Genomic DNA, 18,839 nt, shown 5'->3' on the forward strand with positions numbered 1-18,839 from the left:
AGGGGTTGGGGGGAAATGGAGAGTGACTGCCAATAGGTATGGAGTTTCTTTTGGGAGGATAAAGAAAATGTTCTAAACTTCATTGTGGAGATGGTTACACGACCAAATATACTAAAAACCATCAAGTTACATACTGTTTTTTTTGAAACAAAGTCTCACTCTGTTACCCAGACTAGAGTGTGGTGCGATCTGGGCTCACTGCAACCTCCACCTCCCGGGTTCAAGTGATTCTTCTGCCTCAGCCTCCCGAGTAGCTGGGATTATAGGCGTGTGCCACCACAACCAGCTAGTTTTTGTATTATAGTAGAGACGGGTTTCACCATGTTGGCCAGGCTGGTCTTGAACTCCTGACCTCAAGTGATCCCCCCTGCCTCAGCCTCCCAAAGTGCTGGGATTACAGTCCTGAGCCACCGCACCCGGCCGAGTTACATACTTTAAATGGATGCATCTTATGCATTGTGAATTCGATCTCAAATTATCATTTGGGACATGAAGGATGTCTCAAATACAAACACAGAGCAAGTTAAACACTGTTGAACTTGGATAGATTACGGTGATGTCAGTACAATCACTGCCACAACTGTGCTGTGTTCTCCCCCTATCTTGGACTGGAGGCAGCAGCTTCAGTGCGATAGAATCAAGATTAATAGGGTCAAGGGAATTAGTGATAGCCCACCATTTGGCCAACAGCATTAGTGGTCTCTGGTAATATCTATTCTGTGGAGATGGATGTACCCAATAAAGTTGGGGGACAGAGTCACTGGCCCACAAATCCCAGGTAATCACATTAAGAGATCCAGCCTGCTCTGCCTAATGTTATTACTTTCTCCCTGTGGAAAGGAGAAATATGACACTCCAGGGGACTACATTCATTGTTTACTCAGTCAATCAACATTTATTGAGCACCCACAGTGTGCAGAGCTAGTATCAGACCAGGATTTGAAAAGTAAAAAGTTCTTCCCCTGAGGGATCTGCAAGATTAATGAAGTCTCTGCCCTCAGGGAGCTGGGAAACTGCTGGGGGAAAAAGTCTTCGGTTTCAGGGCTCTCCCAGTCAGATGGGGAAAGGAGAAAACCACCCAGAAAAGCAATGTAAAGATACTCACAGCACTACACTCTGACCAACTGAGCTAACCGGTTGGCAGCCCTAAGGACTCTTAAAAGATAAGGGAAGTCATCCTGCAAATTAAGGACTTGGCAGCTGTGGGACCTCAGTGTTAATTAAAGGTGTTTTGAAAGCCCAAGTTAAGGATGTTAGAGAAGTGTGCTTTGGAAGAGGCAGAGAGACAGAGATGGCAGACAGACACGGGGAATGTATTCTGAGGTTCTCTGCAAAGGCAGAAGGAGAAGCAGTACCAGAATGCGAAGGACTGGTAAGCAAAAATACTAGAACATAAAAAGAAATCAGTTTCTGTCCTGAAAGACACCACAACCTAGTTGAGCCACATTAACAAGCTTATTTGCGCTAACAAGGGGTAGGGTAAGGGTGGGGAAGGATTGTGTTATGAGGATATAGGAGTGGCTCAGAATCCCAGGTTGCAAGTCTCCCAGCACTGTACTCGGCCATAGTTCTTAAACCGCATGTGAATCTATAATTATCTCAAAGAGCATGTTGAGATGAGGGAATTGCAACCATGTGTGAGGTGAGGGTATAGTGTTCTAGTGTGTCATAGTGAGAGACAAGGCTCCATCCCGAGGCTGTAGGGGACAGTCCATTCTTTCAGTGGTTGTTGGTGTCCCTTGACTTGTGGCATCACTCCAAAACCTGCTTCCATGGCCACAGTGCCTCCTTCCTATGCCGCCGCCTCTCCTCAGTGTGTGTGCTCTGTGTGCCCTCTTATAAGGACATATGTCATTGGATTTAGGGCCCAGTTGGCTAATCCAGGATAAGTCTTTTCTTCAAGATCCTTAATCACCTTTTGTCATATAAGGCATTACTTGTTCAGTATGTAAAGGGTATGAGAAGCCTGTGCAATGTGGCAAGACTCCTATCTACAAAAAAAGAAAAAGCCAGGCTTGGTGGCATGTGTGGACATCTCTTTTTGGGTGGGAGGGCACCATTCAACCCACTACAGAAAGGTAGGGGCAGATAAATGATTACTAGGATTCTGACCCAGCCAATCAAGATAGAACACACAGAAGAAACAGCAGCCTTCAGGGCTTGAACTTCAGGGAGGGAAGTTCAAGTTTTAACTGAATTTGAGGGTCTTGTGAGGATACTCAGTAGGCAATGGGATAAATGTTTCAGCAAAGAGCTGGGTTGGAGCTGCAGGTTATTCCTGACATGAGTGGCATAGCTGAAACCAAGGGAGTGGACGAGCAAATCTGGAGAGAAAAGATAGGGCAGGCTGAGGACAGACCCTGAATAATGCTAACTTTAGGAGTCAGGCAGGGGACCAGAAGCCATCCATGAAGGGAAGAAAAACCAGGAGAAAATGGGAAGGCTGAAAGCCAAGCAAGGAAATAGTTTCAGAAAATGAGTTCAATAGTGTCAAATACTAGTAGGGTAGGACTGGAAAGAAACCTTTGATTTTAGGAACTTAATGTTGACAGGCAGATAAGCTTTTTTCTCTCTTTAAAAAAATTTATTCTCATTAAAGAACACTTGAAATGCATGAAGTACAAAAGTATAGTTACATCAACCAAACACAATTATTAGCATTTCCATCCATTTTTTAAAACATTGTTTTCAGTCAGGGTTTCACTCTGTCACCCAGGCTAGAGTGCAGTGACACGATACTTCACTGCAACCTTCACTTCCTGGGCTCAAGTGATCCTCCCACCTCAGCCTCGGAGTAGCTGGGACTGCAGGCATATACCACCACGACCCAGTACATCTAGTTGTTTCTATATATAGGTGAGCTTGTGAGTTTTTTTGGGTTTTGAGATGGTATCTCACTCTATCTCACCCAGGCAGGAGTGGTGTGATCATGGCTCACTGCAGCCTCGACCTCCTGGGCTCAAGCAGTCCTCCTCCCTCAGCCTCCTGAGTAACTGGGACTGCAGGCACATGCCATGACACCTGGCTAATTTTTTTTTAAAAATTTTTGTAGAGACAGGGTCTTGCTATGTGGCCCAAGCTGGGCTTGAACTGGCCTCAAGTGATCCTCCTGCCTTGGCTTCCCATAGTGCTGGAATTATAAGTGTGAGCCACCATGCCTGGCCTAGGTGAGTGTTCTTTTTTTTTTTTTTAACACAAACAGAACTAGGTGAGCCTTCAAGGAAAGAAAAAAGACTGTGTGCATGTGTGCGTGCATGCCCGTGAATGCCTGCCTTGATTTCCAACACACGCGTCCTCCTTTAAATCCTCCCTGAGCTGGAGACTGACTTGTGGGCCCTGGGAGAGTGTGTGGGAGTGTGGAGAGTGACCTTTGGACCTGGGTACTTTCCGGCCCCTCCTCCCATGGAAGTTGCTGCACTGATTTGGCCTGTGCAAACACCAGGCACTTTTCGCTGGGTCAATATTTCACATCCGTTGTCAGGGTCTAATCCATCTTCAACATCTGTTCCCTGGGATGTTGTGCACTGCTCTGCCACCTATGACCCCTCATGGTCTTTGTCCCCAGAAGAGGATCTCTACAAGGTCCCCAGGGCTTTCTCCAGCTTGAGGCTGCTCGGTTCTTCTCTTTTTTTCCTCTTTAAACCCTCTCACCTTTGCCTGAGCCAATAATCTCCCTCAAATTACAGGGAGAAGCCCCTTCTGTCTGGAAGCCTTCCCTGGCTCCAGAACACAGGGACGTGGTAGCTGCTGTTGTGTAGAATTCAGCAAACCTCACCTGCCAGTGGGTCCAGAACACGTTCTGACCCAGTGTCCTGCTTGCCACCTTGTACTTCCTGACTGCTGCTTCCTGCTGTGAGCCTGCTGGAGCCCTGGGGACACACATTTACTTGAATAACATCTCAAAATAGACTGGGAAGACAAAATGTACTACAAGGGGCCAGGCACCGTGGCTCATGCCTGTAATCCTAGCACTTTGAGGGGCTGAAGCAGGCGGATTGCCTGAACTCAGGAGTTCAAGACCAGCCTGGGCAACAGGGTGAAACCCCATCTCTACTAAAATACAAAAAATTAGCTGGGCGAGGTGGTGGGTGCCTGTAGTCCCAGCTACTCAGGTGGCTGAGGCAGGAGAATTGCTTGAACCAGGAGGTGGAGTTTGCAGTGAGCCAAGATCATGCCAAGGCACTCCAGCCTGGGCGACAGAGCAAGACTCCATCTCCAAAACAAACAAACAAACAAGAACCCAAAATATACTACAAGGTGTAACTAGAAATTGTTTTCAAGATTGGTGCTTTTGCACCATTGATTAGACGAGGCAACCAAGTGCATTTATTTTGATGCATGCCTGTCTTGTTCCTCTAATCAACTCCCAAGAACAGGGACAGACTGGGCATGGTGGCTCATGCCTGTAATCCCAGCACTTTGGGAGGCCGAGGCGGGCAGATCACCTGAGGTCAAGGGATCGAGACCAGCCTGACCAACATGGTGAAATCCCGTTTCTATTAAAAATACAAAAATTAGCTGGGCGTGGTCGTGGGTGCCTGTAATCCCAGCTACTTGGGAGGCTGAGGCACGAGAATCACTTGAACCCGGGAAGTGGAGGTTACAGTGAACCGAGATTGCACCACTGCGCTCCAGCCTGGGATACAGAGCAAGACTCGTCTAAAAAAAAAAAAGAAGAAGAAGAAGAACAGGGACAGATTTCTGTTCATTCTCCTCAGTGCAAATCTCTGGCCCCAGCTTTCCTCATCATTATTCAAACCCAACATATATTCGGCATTTACTATAAGCAAGTGCTGTTATTAAGCCCATTTATAGATGAGGGAGCCAAGGCTTAGCAAGGATAAAGACTTGAAGGCCGCACAGCTGCAGAAGGTCAGGCTGGACCAGGGTTTATGTTGTTAACACTAAATTGTTTGGAGAAACAGCAAACCCAGCTGTGGGGGAATGGGAGGGGTGGGTGTGGAGCCTGAGGCTAACTTCCTCCCACCCAGCCATTCTGTCCTCTCTGCAATAAAATTCATAGTCCAGGAAATTCCCTGCAAGTGACAATGACTCTTAAACTTTCCTGAAGATAAGAATTGCTGGGCCAGAGCCTCCTTCACTGCTTGCCATCCCTTCAGCTGATGGTCAGTAACTCTTTCTTTGCCAGTAGCCTGCCTGGCCTTCCAGTTTACCAGAGAGGCCCTGGTGATGAACCAGGCCCACCTCCCATCTTCCGGAACCCATCCCTGCCACCTCACCCAACCCCACCCTCCTTCCCTCTTTCACTCTGGGAGTTTTTGCAGTTCATCTGCTCAGCCAAAGAGAAGTAACTGCTAATGTTAAGCCGAAATTTGGGTCAGGCCAGGAGGCACCTTTAAAATAAAAAATTTACTCGGGTACAGGAAACAGCTATAAATGATCTTGGAAATGCAGGCACTCCATCTGGTTACACACTCCAGGCAATGCCCAACAGAGCATCTGAAGGGGCCTTGCTTATCAACTGTCATGGATTCAGGAAGCCAAACAGACCTGCCTGTTACCAAGGTGTCTCCTGCAGGCCCCTGCCTCCAGAAATGACCACCCCTGAGATGAAAACTTCTCTTGGGAAGAAACTGAGAAGGAGCTTTTAACAATTTGCTCAGGGCTTCCCACTCTTTGTTGCTGGGACATTCTTTCTGTAGCCAGCTTCAGTCCCTGTTAACACATAGTGAACAACAGTATTATTTTTGTTGTGTTCCACATCTGCCGTGTATAATCTCCTTTTATTTTTTTCTGAGTTAACTTTGTTTTCTTTTTTCTTTGTTTTTTTTTTTTGTTTGTTTGTTTTTCTGCTGACTACCTACTTATCTGTCATAACTTTGTTTTTATTGTGGTAAGAACACAATGTGAGATCTAGCTTCTTTTTTTTTTTTTCATTTTAAACAAGAAGTTTATTTAAACAACAAGACGCTTGACTTGAAGGGAAAACTATGTAGGATTCTTTTTTGTTTTAGAGTAATTTATCCTTACTTAAAGACAGATTACCCTACATGTAACAGCTACGTACAAAAAAGTTATAAAATTGTCCTTGGTTTTACAATGATAAATGAAAAACATTAAAATTCTCCAATTGAACAAGGTATGCAAGGATTTTTATGTTGTTGTTGTTGTTTTGTTGTTGTTGTTAAAACAGTGAGAGCAAAATAACTTACTGGAATATAAAGATAGGAGCTGAATGAGCATGCCACTAATGGAGAAAGGGGGTATTTTCACAGAATCAGTATTTTTCCCCATCCCGTCTCCCCTTGATGTCAGTCAAAACATACCATTGGCTGTTTAGTTAAAAAAAAAAAATGCAATATGCTTGTGCACATATACCAGTTACTTTACGTACAATAAAGGAATGGGGAAGGGGGAAATGAAAGAACAGAGAAAACTATACGGTAGTAGTCAGGATGTGGTGGAACCAAATTGCAGTTTTCTAATTGAGAATGTAATCTTGGTCTTTAAAGAACAGAGTTCTGGAGTAAAGAAGCAGGTTCCCTTTTCAGTAGACACCTCCCGTCTGCTGTTGGAACACATCAATTGTATCTTCATCCTCCATTTCCAACTGTGCAGGTGTGTCTGTTTCATTGACTGGTTGCCCGTCGAATGGGAATCTGATCTACCTCATTGACAATCCCTGTTGTTCACAATAGGCTTTCATTAGTTTACTGAGTGGTGTATGCCTCTTAATCTTAAACTGCACCATAGAACCATCCTGCCCCGCCACCTTCAAATTAATATGATCGTTGTTCTGTCTTGACTCCTTCCTTGGGCTTTTCGTCGGCCATGGCGAGCACTGAAGTCTCCTCAGCTGCCGCTTCACAAAAGAGGTACCAGGTCCGCACCAAATGAGCACACAAGCAGCACCAGAAGCGGCAGAAGAAGGCGAGATCTAGCTTCTTAACAAAATTTTAAGTGTAACATCTCCTTTTAATTTGGATAAAATAGTAGGTATTGGGCCGGGCGCGGTGGCTCATGCCTGTAATCCCAGCACTTTGGGAGGCTGAGATGGGTGGATCACCTGTGGTCAGAATTCGAGACCAGTCTGGCCAACCTGGTGAAACCCCGTCTCTACTAAAAATACAAAATTAGCCGGGTGCGGTGGCGCGCACCTGTAATTCCAGCTACTCGGGAGGCTGAGGCAGGAGAATCGCTTGAACCCAGGAGGCAGAGGTTGCAGTGAGCCAAGATCGCACCACTCACTGCACTCCAGCCTGGGCAACAAGAGCAAAACTCCATCTCAATAAAAAAAAAAAAAAAAAAAAAATAGGCTGGGCGCAGTGGCTCACGCCTGTAATCCCAGCACTTTGGGAGGCCGAGGCGGGTGGATCACAAGGTCAGGAGATCGAGGCCATCCTGGCTAACATGGTGAAACCCCATCTCTACTAAAAATACAAAAATTAGCTGGGCATGGTGGCGGGCGCCTGTAGTCCCAGCTACTCCGGAGGCTGAGGCAGGAGAATGGCGTGAACTCGGGAGGCGGAGCTTGCAGTAAGCCGAGATCGCGCCACTGCACTCCAGCCTGGGCAACAGAGCCAGACTCCGTCTCACAAAAAAAAAGTAGGCATTGAGTGCTTATATGGTAAGCACTGTGTTAAGCACTTCATATTTGATGATTTTAACCCCCACAACAAAACATTAATCGTTAATATGTGATAATTAACAAAGTTATGAATAAATCCATTTCACAGATGGGTCACGGAGAGAGGTTGAGTAAATCACGCATGGTCATACAGGGTTGGGATTTTTTTATTTTTTTGAGACAGAGTCCTGCTTTGTTGCCCAGGCTGGAGTGCAGTGGCATGATCTCAGCTCACTGCAGCCTCTACTTTGTGGGCTAAAGCAATCTTCCCACCTCAGCCTCCTGAGTGGCTGAGACTATAGGTGTGCACCACCATGGCCAGTGAATTTTTGTGTTTTTTGGTTGTTGTTTTTTTTTGAGACAGAGTCAGGGTTTCACCTTGTTGGCCAGGCTGGTCTCACCCACCTCGGCCTCCCAAAATGCTGGGATTATAGACATGAGCCACCGCGCTCTGCCAGAATTTTTGTATTTTTTGTAGAGACGGGGTTTCACCATGTTGCCCAGGCTGGTCTCAAACTCCTGGGCTCAAGCGATCTGCCAGCCTCAGCCTCCCAAAGTGCTGGGATTACAGGTGTGAGCCACCATGCCCTGCCTACAGAGTTGGGATTTTAATTCAGGCAGTCCAACTTCAGAGCTCTTGCACTTAATTACAGATGCTCTGTGTCTCTTTCCAGTTCTCCTTTCTCCAAATGGGATCATTCTACCTCTGTAAACCTGTCCTTATGACTTCCCTTTGAGTCAGGAAACCTAGTGCTGATGCCAAAGACCCTGAATAGATTTCTATTAGGGACGAGAGCCATGGAACGTTCCCTTTCCATCACTTAATTCAATCTCTGATGAAGTCCACACCAGTCATTCCCCCTGCACAGCCATCTTGCTCATATCCTTCTCAACAAAGTGGCTCCTAACCCTATCTGGAGGACTAGATAGCCATTCTGGCAGAACAGTGGCCCTAGTCACAAGGGAAAAAGGAACCCCTGTTTGCAAAGCAGCTGTATTTGCTAAGTAAGACACTTTGACAGGCTGAGCATGGCCTGTAATCCCAGCACTTTGGGAGGCCAAGGCGGGCAGATCACTTGAGGTCAGGAGTTCGAGGCCAGCCTGGCCAACATGGTGAAACCCCAGCTCTATTAAAAATACAATAATTCGCTGGGTGTGGTGGCAAGTGCTTGTAATCTCAGCTACTCAGGAAGCTGAGACAGGAGAATTGCTTGAACCTGGGAGGCTGAGGTTGCAGTGAGCCAAGATCACACCACTGCACTCCAGCCTGTGCAACAAAGTGAGACGCCATTTCTTAAAAAAAAAAAAAAAGGACACTGACAAAATGCCTTTTAAGGAAATGATATTTGGGGAGATATGCTGTCAGTAGTTTCGATAGGAACTCAGCATTGAGTTCCTACTGAGGAAACAGCAGAGAACATCTGTGAACATCTGTGGTTGGGTTCTCCTTCATGTTTCACCTCTTTCACATACCTCACATACCCCTGCATCCATCCTGCCCATCCTCTATTCCATTTGTCCTGTCATTTTTGACCCCGAGTTTTGACAACCCCAAACCTTGTCCCTCCATAAAGTAGACAGGCTAGTAGGTCATCATGGTGAAGAGCCCAGACTCTGGAACTAGACTGTCTGGTGGCAACTTTAGACAAGTCACTCAACCGCTCTTGGCTTTGGTTTCCCCATTTGTAAAATGGCATTGACAATTATAGTCTCTGCTACAGCTAGATGAGTTAAAATGGGTAGAGCATTTAGAGCAGCGCCTGACACACGCTGATTGTAAGCACTCAATACGTGTTCTTCCCTGCCACCTGATTAACAGCTTTGTGAAATTGGGCAGGTCACTCTGAAAGAGGGTATGATTATGATGTAGTGATTAAGAGCACTAGGTTTGACATCAGATGCCCTTGAATCTTGACTTTTTTTTTTTTCTGGAGACAGGCTCTCATTCTGTCACCTAGGCTGGAGTACAGTGGTGCAATCTCGGCTCACTGCAGCCTCAATCTCCCAGGCTTAAGTGATCCTCCCACCTTCAGCCTCCTGAGTAGCCAGGACTACAGGCATGCGTACACGACACTTGGTTCTGTTCTTGTCTCCTGTCCATTCCACCCCCGAGCCAGCAGTCCCAGGAGACAGCCTCTTCCTATTCAGTATCTCCCCCATGTAGGAGCTTAAGTAAATGAAATACCACCACCCCTCTCCCATCTTACCTTGAGATTAGGAAAGACTGTGGTTGAGGGCAGCCTGTGTTACTGAATGTTATCTTCGTGGGCTTGGCTCCAGAGCCCTCAGCAGGAAGAGGGACTGGACCTGCAGCCTCAGACTCAGCACTGGGACTTATAATGAACAGAGTCCTGAGCCCTCTGGTGGGGAGTATTGGGTTCCATTCTGCTTGCTCCTTGCAGGGCCTTTCCAAGAAGTCAAGGGCCCTTGACACTTTAAGGAGTGCCCACATCATGTCAAAAATATTAAAATGCACTGACATCCCACAGAATTTTTTTTTTCTTTTTGAGATGGAGTTTCGCTCTTGTCGCCCAGGCTGGAGTGCCACCACGCCTGGCTAATTTTTGTATTTTTATTAGAGATGGGGTTTCCCCATGTTGGTCAGTCTGGTCTCAAACTCCTGACCTCTGGTGATCCGCTCACCTCAGCCTCCCAAAGTGCTGGGATTACAGGCGTGAGCCACCATGCCCTGCCTGAAATGTGGTTTATACATAAACTATATATACAAACTGAGTTGAGTTGCAGTTGGTTGAGATTTTGTTTTGTAGCCATTTATTTCAATATTTATCCAATGCCATTTTGCAACTGTCTTTTTTATTTTGAAAACAATAACTTTTTTCCAGGTTTCAATAATAAGCCCTAGCTCCTAAGCCATTGTGTCTAAGGGATGGGCCAGCAGTCCCTCCAGTGCTTAGGCTGACTTGGTTGGATTCCCTGGTCCCAGAGCTTGTCAACTCCAGAGCCCATGTGAACCATGCCCACCCTATCTATCTATTCATCCACCCATCCATCCATCCGTTCGTTCATTCGTCCATCTGTCCATCCTTCCATCCATCTATCCACCCACCCATATCTATCTGAGCTGTCTATGGTAGAAAAAAAGCAACTTGGGCGGAGGCTAGAGAAGACAAGCATGGTGTGAGACTGCCCTCTAGAGATTGCTACAGGAAAGTGCAGGTGGGGAGCTCCCTCTTTCAGGATAAGATCAACCCCACCACTCGTTCACTCATTCACATTTATTGAGCGAGTACCTACCTATACCCGGCACCGTGTACTTACCTGTTCTGGGAACAAAAGACAAATACAAAGAGAAACACCACACGTCCCTGTTCTCCAGGAGGTCACCATGTTGTAGCAGTGACTGCAAACACATAAACAAATGATTACTGTTCTGTGCAATGACTACTGGAGTAGATGTGCACCAAGTTCTATGGGAGCACTGAAGGCAAGGAAATAAGTCTGGGGCAATAGGGGAGGTCATCACAGGGAAGGTGGCATTCAAGATGGGCCTTGAAGGATGTGTAGAAGTTTGCCATGTAGTGCTGGGGAGGAAAGGCATTCGGGGCAGAAGGAATGGCAGTGTAGAAATGCAGGCTTGTTGAGGGCCAGCAAGAGGTGTGGCAAAGCTGGAGCATGCATAGTACCGAACAGTCAAGACCCAGCTAGAGAGGCAGGTGGGACCAGATAGTGAAACTCCCACTCAAAAAACAGGAAGTGAGCCAGGTGTGGTGGTGCTCACCTGTACTCCCAGCTACTCGGGAGGCTGAGATGGAAGGACTGCTTGAGCTCAGGAGTTTGAGGCTGCAGTGAGCTATGATCACACCTGTGAATAGCCATTGCACTCCAACCTGGGCAACATAGTGAGACCCTGTCTCTTAAAAAAAAAAACAGAAAACAGGCCATGCCCAGTGGTTCATGCCTGTAATCCCAGCACTTTGGGAGGCCAAGGCAGGAGGATCACTTGAGGCCAGGAGTTCAAGACCAGCCTGGGCAACATAGCGAGACTGCATCTTTACAAAAAAAAAACAAACATTAGCAGGTCATGGTGGCATGAGCCTGTAGTCCCAGCTACTTGAGAGGCTGAGGTGTGAAGACCACTTGAACCCAGGACGTGAAGGCTGCAGTGAGCCATGATCGCACCACTGCACTCCAGCCTGGGTGAGAGAGAGAGAGAGACTCCGTCTCAAAAATAAAACAAAGCCGGGTGCGGTGGCTTATGCCAGCACTTGGGGAGGGTGAGGCGGGCAGATCACCTGAGGTCAGGAGTTTGATACCAGCCTGGCCAACATGACAAAACCCCATCTCTAATAAAAATCCAAAAAATAGGCCAGGCGCGGTGGCTCACGCCTGTAATCTCAGCACTTTGGGAGGCCGAGGCGGGTGGATCATGAGGTCAGGAGATCGAGACCATCCTGGCTAACACGATGAAACCCCGTCTCTACTAAAAAATACAAAAAAAATTAGCCAGGTGTGGTGGCGAGTACCTGTAATCCCAGCTACTGAGGAGGCTGAGGCAGGAGAATGGTGTGAACCCGGGAGGCAGAGCTTGCAGTGAGCCGAGATTGCGCCACTGCACTCCAGCCTGTGCCACAGAGCAAGACTCCATCTCAAAAAAAAAAATTAAAAAAAAAAAATAGCCCAGTGTGCTGATGGGCACCTGAAATACCAGCTACTCAGGATGCTGAGGCAGGAGAATAGCTTGAACCTGGGAGGCGAAGGTTGCAGTGAGCCGAGATCACATGCTATTATTGCACTCCAGCCTGGGCGACAGAGTGAGACTCCGTCTCAAAAAATAAAAACTAAAAAGCAAAAAATAAAATATATAAAACAAAAAAACAAAACAAAAGTAGGACATGTCGCACTTAAACTTAAGACTCTTTTTCTTGCAGCAGTGGTTTAAACAGAGGAACAAACAGGAAGATCTTGTCGCCTTTGAGGGGCTGTGGTTGGGCCCCTCAAAGTGACTTTGGAGGTTCTACGCCACTCATGGTCACCCAGTCCCCCAGTTAATCCCAAGTGGGAGCTCCCAAGCAATTGCTGTGCCTGACAGAATGTGCCAGGTACTTGATATGAGGTTTGTCAAATGCCCAGATCCCAGTGATTGCAGTCACCCTGCCCTCTCCCGTTTTCTGCAGACCGAGACGCGGGCACCCAGCACCGCACCTGGGCCCACTTCATCCAGATCATGAAGGTGGAGGAGACTGCAGCCAGCAAGTGCAACTGGCCAGCAGTCACACAGCTCCATGACTCCAAGGTTGAGTTCCTGCTGCCTCACTGGGTCCTCTGTGGCCAGCAACAAGCCACGTGTCACCACCAAGAGGCCCGACATCTTACAGGTGAAGGGCCCTCTCACCCTGGGTGTGACCAAATAAACTCCTCAAGAACACCAAACCAAACAAAACAGGACGTGATGCTCTGACCAGAACTCTGTGCCAAACAAGAGGGAGGCCTGACCCAGCCATTCAGAGAATCAGGCATATCCAGGACCAGGATCTCAGACACTGAGACACAGTACCTGCCTCTCAGGTGGTCTCAGCTGAAGACATTAGTGCTGAGATGATGAGGCCAGGGTGGGTGGGGAACTTTCAGGTGGGAGTACAGGTGAGACAAGGGAGCAGAGCATGCTAAGAGGAGCCAGGAGAGCTTCCAGAACACCTGTGGCTCTCCTATCTCCCTAACAATTCCTGCTTCACTCGAGTTTCCTTCCTGGACAGGAATCCTGTCTTCACCATCAACTGGCTGCGAGACCTTGAGAAAGTCACTTAATGATGCACTGGCTGGGTGAGGTGACTCACGCCTGTAATCCCAGCACTTTGGGAGGCCAAGGCAGGAGGACCACTTGAGCCCAGGGCTTTGGGGCTGCAGTAAACTATGATTATGCCATTACACTCCAGCCTGGGCAACAACAGAGAGAGACCCTGTCTTTAAAAAAAAAAAAAAATGCTGGGTACAGTGGCTCATGCCTGTAATCCAAGCTCTTTGGAAGGCCGAGGCAGGCAGATCACCTGAGGTCAGGAGTTCGAGACCAGCCTGGCCAACATGGTGAAACCCCATCTCTACTAAAAATACAAAAATTAGCTGGGTGTGGTGGCACATGCCTGTAATCCCAGCTATTCAGGAGGCTGAGGCAGGATAATCGCTTGAACCCGGGAGGCGGAGGTTGCAGTGACCAGAGATCGCGCCATTGCACTCCAGCCTGGGCGACAGAGAGTGAGACTCCATCTCAAAAAAAAAAAAAAAAAAAAAAAGAGTAATGGAAAGCCCATCCTTAAGCTTTTGTAGGATACATGGTGGCCCAGCCAAAGACTGGATTTAATAGCCCTCCTTGCAACTAGTTGTGGCCATGAAACTAAGTTCTGGCCAATGGAAGGTGAGCAGTAGGGAGCTGTGCAACTTCTAGATCCCATGCTTAGAAGGAAGAAAGTTGCTTGCTCTTCATTTTTCTCCTTCCTGCTGATTGAGAAGTGGTAACACCTGGTGTAGCCACCTTAGCCACAGAGATGGAAGCCACATGTTGAGGATGGCAGAGTCACTCTGAAAACCCCGGGCTGCTCACCTCTTACTGCTACATGAAAAATAAATGATCTTCTTTCGGATCTATCTTACCTAAGCCCCTGGATTCTGGTGCCTCTTTGTTATAGCAGATTACCATGTACCTTTAATTAATGCAGCATGTTTTTTAAAAATAATCCTTTCCTGTTAGAAAAGTGGGCAAAAGGCATTAGGTGATGGTTTACTCACACAAAAAAGGGCTACAAATGGCCTTTACATATGTGAAAATATGCTGAACTTCACTTAGAAGAGAAATGCAAGTTAAAACCACACTATGAGACTATTTTACATTAATCACATTGGCAGAAATTCAAAGGCTCAACCATACACTCTGTGGCAAGGCTGTGTGGGAAATAGGTATTCTCATAGTTGGCTGGTGGGAGTGCAAAATAGACCAGGCGCAGTGGCTTACGCCTGTAGTCCCAACACTTTGAGAGGCCAAAGTGGGAGGATCGCTTGAGGCCAGGAGTTCCAGGCTGCAGTGAGCTATGATTGCACCACTGCACTCTAGCCTGGGCAATAGAGAAAGACCCCAACTCTAAAAAAATAAAAAATAAAAAAAAAAAAACAGAAGAAAATAAACGTATCAGAATTGGCACTATCTTCCTCCAAGAGGGCAAAAGCTTGTCCCCTTGCTCCATGAGGGGAGTATTTCATGCTCTGGAGCTCCCCATGGGCTCAGGCTGCATCTGATCTCCAAATGAGATCAGATCCTTACTTCCCCTTTCCCCGTTTCCCCCGCTTCCCTTATGTCCTGCTCCGGAGAACAGTCTGTCCATCAATCACTTGCACAAGCATCCCGGTTTCAGGCTATGCTCTAGTGAACCCAGCCTAAGATACATGACGCTTACTAACCAGTCAGTAGCAAGGAAACGGAATGGCCAGCACTCGCTTCAGGCTCTGCCTCTGTGTGAGTTGCTGACACACAGAACATCGCAGAGGAGGAACACCGGGCCCAAACCGGTGAGTGATTAAGAAGAAGAAAACATGGTTCTTGGTAAGGCAATCAAACTAACAGAGGTGCTCTGGAAAGTCACACTCTTGGGGGAAGAAAAGAAGTAACCCTTGACCAGGCGCATGGGCTCACCCCTGTAATCCCAGCACTTTGGGAGGCCGAGGCAGGCGGATCACCTGAGGTCAGAAGTTCGAGACCAGCCTGGCCAACATGGTGAAACCCTGTCTCTACTAAAAATACAAAAATTAGCCGGGCGTGGTGGTGGGTGCCTGTAATCCCAGCTACTCGAGGCTGAGACAGAAGAATCGCTTGAACCAGGGAGGCGGAGGTTGCAGTGAGCTGAGATCATGCCACTGCACTCCAGCCTGGGTGACAGAGTGAGACTCCATCTCAAAAAAAAGAGAAAGAAAACTGCAAGATATTTTCTTTGTTTTTGTTTTCAGACAGGGTCTCACTCAGCTGCTCAGGCCGGAGTGCAGTGGCACGATAATAGCTCACTGCAGCCTTGATCTCCTGGGCTCAAGCGATCCTCCCACCTCAGCCTCCTGAGGCCCGGCTTTTTTTTTTTTTTTTTAAGTAGAGATGAGGTCTTGCTATGTTGCCCAATATGGTCTCAAAATCCTGAGATCAAGTGATCCTCATGCTTTGGCCTCCCGAAGTGGTAGGATTAAAGGCGTGAACTACTGCATCTGGCCAGATCTTAGCTGTTGGAATAAGGGTATTGATTCATTAATTCAATAATTTACTAATCGAGCACCTACTCCATGCCAGGTACTATCCTAAGCACAGTGAACAAAACAGGCAAAGATCCCTGCCCTCAAGGAGCTTAAATTATAGAAAGAATAAAGATGAAAAATACAGTAGTAAACATAACAAATAATGATATGGGTAAGAAGTTCATAGAGACTAGGGAAGAGACAATTGCAATCTTAAATAGGGAGATCAGGCAGGTCTCACCGAAAAGGCAAGATTTGAGCAAGACATGAAAGAAACTAGGTGCTGGGAGCGGTGGCTCACGCCTGTAATCCCGGCACTTTGGCAGGCTGAGGCGGGAGGATCACCTGATGTTGGGAGTTCGAGACCAGCCTGACCAACATGGAGAAACCCCGTCTCTACTAAAAATACAAAATTAGCTGGGCGTGGCGGGCCTGTAGTCCCAGCTCCTAGGGAGGCTGAGGCAGGAGAATCGCTTGAACCTGGGAGGCAGAGGTTGCGGTGAGCTGAGATTGCGCCACTGCATTCCAGCCTGGGAAACCAGAGCGAAACTCCATCTCAAAAAAAAAAAAGAAAAGAAAAGAAAAAGAAAAGAAAAACCCAAACCTCGGGTCTCTCCAAAGTAGCTCCCACTGAGCTCCCTCTGCTGGACAAATGTGAAATTGCTTCCCTTTTTAAAGATAATCTACCGATAGTTGTGGAATGCAACAACCATGTAAGACTAACCTTCCAAAATGGATTAGAGGCCCGGTGCGGTACTTTGGGAAGCCGAGGCGGGCGGATCACTTGAGGTCAGGAGTTCGAGACCAGCCCGGCCAACATGGTGAAACCCCGTCTCTACTAAAAATATAAAAATCAGCCAGGCGTTGTGGTGCACGCCTGTAATCTCAGCTACTCGGGAGGCTGAGGCAGGAGAATCACTTGGACCCAGGAGGCGGAGGTTGCAGTGAGCCAAGATCCAGTCACTGCACTCCAGCCTGGGTGACAGAGTGAGACACTCCCGTCTCAAAACAAATAAACAAAAAAGTGGATTAGGGGAGAAAGGCTCCCATGAGACACCTCCACCCCCATTATTCACCATCCATACCCTGGGGCTAAGGCCCTTAACTGGAGAGGAACTGGGATGGATGAAAGCACCCCCCACCCCGGGCCAGGCGCAGTGGCCTGTAATCCTGGCACCTTGGGAGGCCGAGGCCCATGGATCTCTTGAGGCCAGGAGTTAGTTCGAGACCAACATGGCAAAACCCCGTCTCTAAAAAAAAAAGAAAGAAAGAAAAGAACCCCCCCAAGCAAGCCTTGCTCTGAATCCTTACCAGGCCTGGAAATTCTCAAAGAAGACAAGCTTCCTGGTTTGAGTTTTTTAGCAGTGACTCCCGCTAAATGAAATGCTCAAGCCATCAGGTGTTTTAGGAATTGTAGCACCAGGAAGAAACAATACATAGTGCTGGCCAACCGAGGCCTGAGATTTTTTTAAAGCCAATGTTGCAGGAAGACAACCCCAGACAGACATACAAAAGATTCCCGCAATCGTAGGAAGTGGATGGCTCAAACTGCACAGTTCCCAACAGGAAACCCTACTCATTGCTTGTCTTTGGAGCATTCCTGAAGGATGCTTGTTATACAAGGGAAGTCTTCCAAACAGGTAGACCATAGGGACCAAAGAACTCACTGTCCAGGAAGTGAGTTACATAAAAACGAGGCTTGTGAACTTTGTTGGTTCTGTCATTGGCTGCTTCTATCATCTACCTGTACAGCCTTGTCCAGCAAGACACAACACAGCTCCTGGACCAATGGCCAAGTATGGTGCTTCCTTGGAGGTGTCCCTTTTCTTAATGGTAGCTATTGTGAATGTCTCTTTTTTTTTCCTCCCACTATTGCATATGAGTAGTGATTAATAGTAGGTATTGCCAATCAATTAAAATTGGGAAATTGTAATGGTCAGTAATATATAAGGAAATATACCTTAAAATTGATACTACATATGTGTGTATATTTAGGAATATTTTGTGTTCGAAAAATTCAATGAACCAATAAAATTAGATTAACATGTCTTGGTCACTAAAATGCTGGCAGGTGCAAAACTGATTATAGAAATAAATTGGGAGGCCAGGCGCGGTGGCTCATGCCTGTAATCCCAGCACTTTGGGAGGCCAAGGCAGGTGGATCACGAGGTCAGGAGTTCAAGACCAGCCTGGCCAAGATGGTGAAACCCCATCTCTACTAAAAATACGAAAATTAGCCAGGCATGGTGGCAGACACCTGTAATCCCAGCTACTCGGGAGGCTGAGGCAGCAGAACTGGAATTGCTTGAACCCGGGAGGTGGAGGTTGCAGTGAGCTGAGGTTGCACCATTGCACTCCAGCCTGGGCGACAGAGCAAGACTCCATCTCAAAAAAAAAAAAAAAGAAAGAAAGAAAAGAAATAGATTGGGCTGGCCGGGAGCGGTGGCTCATGCCTGTAATCCCAGCACTTTGGGAGGCTGAGGCAGGCGGATCACGAGGTCAAGAGATGAAGACCATACTGGCCAACATGGTGAAACCCCGTCTCTACTAAAAATACAAAAATTAGCTGGGCATGGTGGCGCATGCCTGTAGTTCCAGCTACTCGGGAGGCTGAGGCAGGAGAATCGCTTGAACCCAGGAGGCAGAGGTTGCAGTGAGCAGAGATCGCACCCTTGCACACTAGCCTGGCAACAGAGTGAGACTCCATCTCAAAAAAAAGAAAGAAAAGAAAAGAAAAAAGAAAAAGAAAGAAAGAAAATAAAAGAAATAGATTGGGCTGGGTGCAGTAGCTCACACCTATAATTTCAGCACTTTGGGAGGCCAAGGCAGGAGAATTGCTTGATCCTAGGAGTAGTGAGACCAGCCTGGGCAAGATAGTGAGACTCAGTCTCTACCAAAAAATTAACAAACTGGGTGTGATGGTGTATGCCTGTGGTCCCAGTTACTCAGGAGGCTGAGGTGGGAGGAATGCCTGAGCCTGGAAGGTCAAGGCTGCAGTGACCCATGATTGTGCCACTGCACTCCTGCC

At 47.3% G+C, this 18,839-nt stretch overlaps 1 long non-coding RNA gene, 1 other non-coding gene and 1 pseudogene across 2 annotated transcripts in view, besides 1 other annotated feature; 1 reads left to right on the forward strand and 2 right to left on the reverse strand.

Annotated features, from left to right (window-relative positions):
• Positions 1–6,311: 6,311 nt before the first annotated feature.
• SUMO2P17 (SUMO2 pseudogene 17) lies at positions 6,312–6,892 on the reverse strand (annotated as a pseudogene).
• LOC105371814 (uncharacterized) overlaps positions 6,464–18,839 on the reverse strand; it is a 34,124-nt gene continuing 21,748 nt past the window's right edge. Inside the window, exons 3-4 of the long non-coding RNA NR_135674.1 lie at positions 10,868–10,949; positions 6,464–6,643 (exon numbers count right to left, since the gene is read on the reverse strand). This is a non-coding gene — a long non-coding RNA (uncharacterized LOC105371814). The remainder of the gene's footprint in view (positions 6,644–10,867; positions 10,950–18,839) is intronic.
• Positions 10,696–10,795: an enhancer, noted in NCBI's record as "active region_12341". NCBI's record gives its function as "activates an Ori minimal core promoter by ATAC-STARR-seq in GM12878 lymphoblastoid cells {active_cell/tissue: GM12878}" and the evidence as "EXISTENCE:reporter gene assay evidence [ECO:0000049][PMID:35858748]".
• LOC124900395 (small nucleolar RNA SNORA68) lies at positions 12,444–12,571 on the forward strand. Its single transcript, XR_007065988.1, has one exon. It is a non-coding gene; the product is annotated as a small nucleolar RNA SNORA68 (small nucleolar RNA).

The sequence above is a fragment of the Homo sapiens genome, chromosome 17, assembly GCF_000001405.40.
Source record: "Homo sapiens chromosome 17, GRCh38.p14 Primary Assembly".
In the NCBI taxonomy this organism is placed as follows: Eukaryota; Metazoa; Chordata; class Mammalia; order Primates; family Hominidae; genus Homo; species Homo sapiens.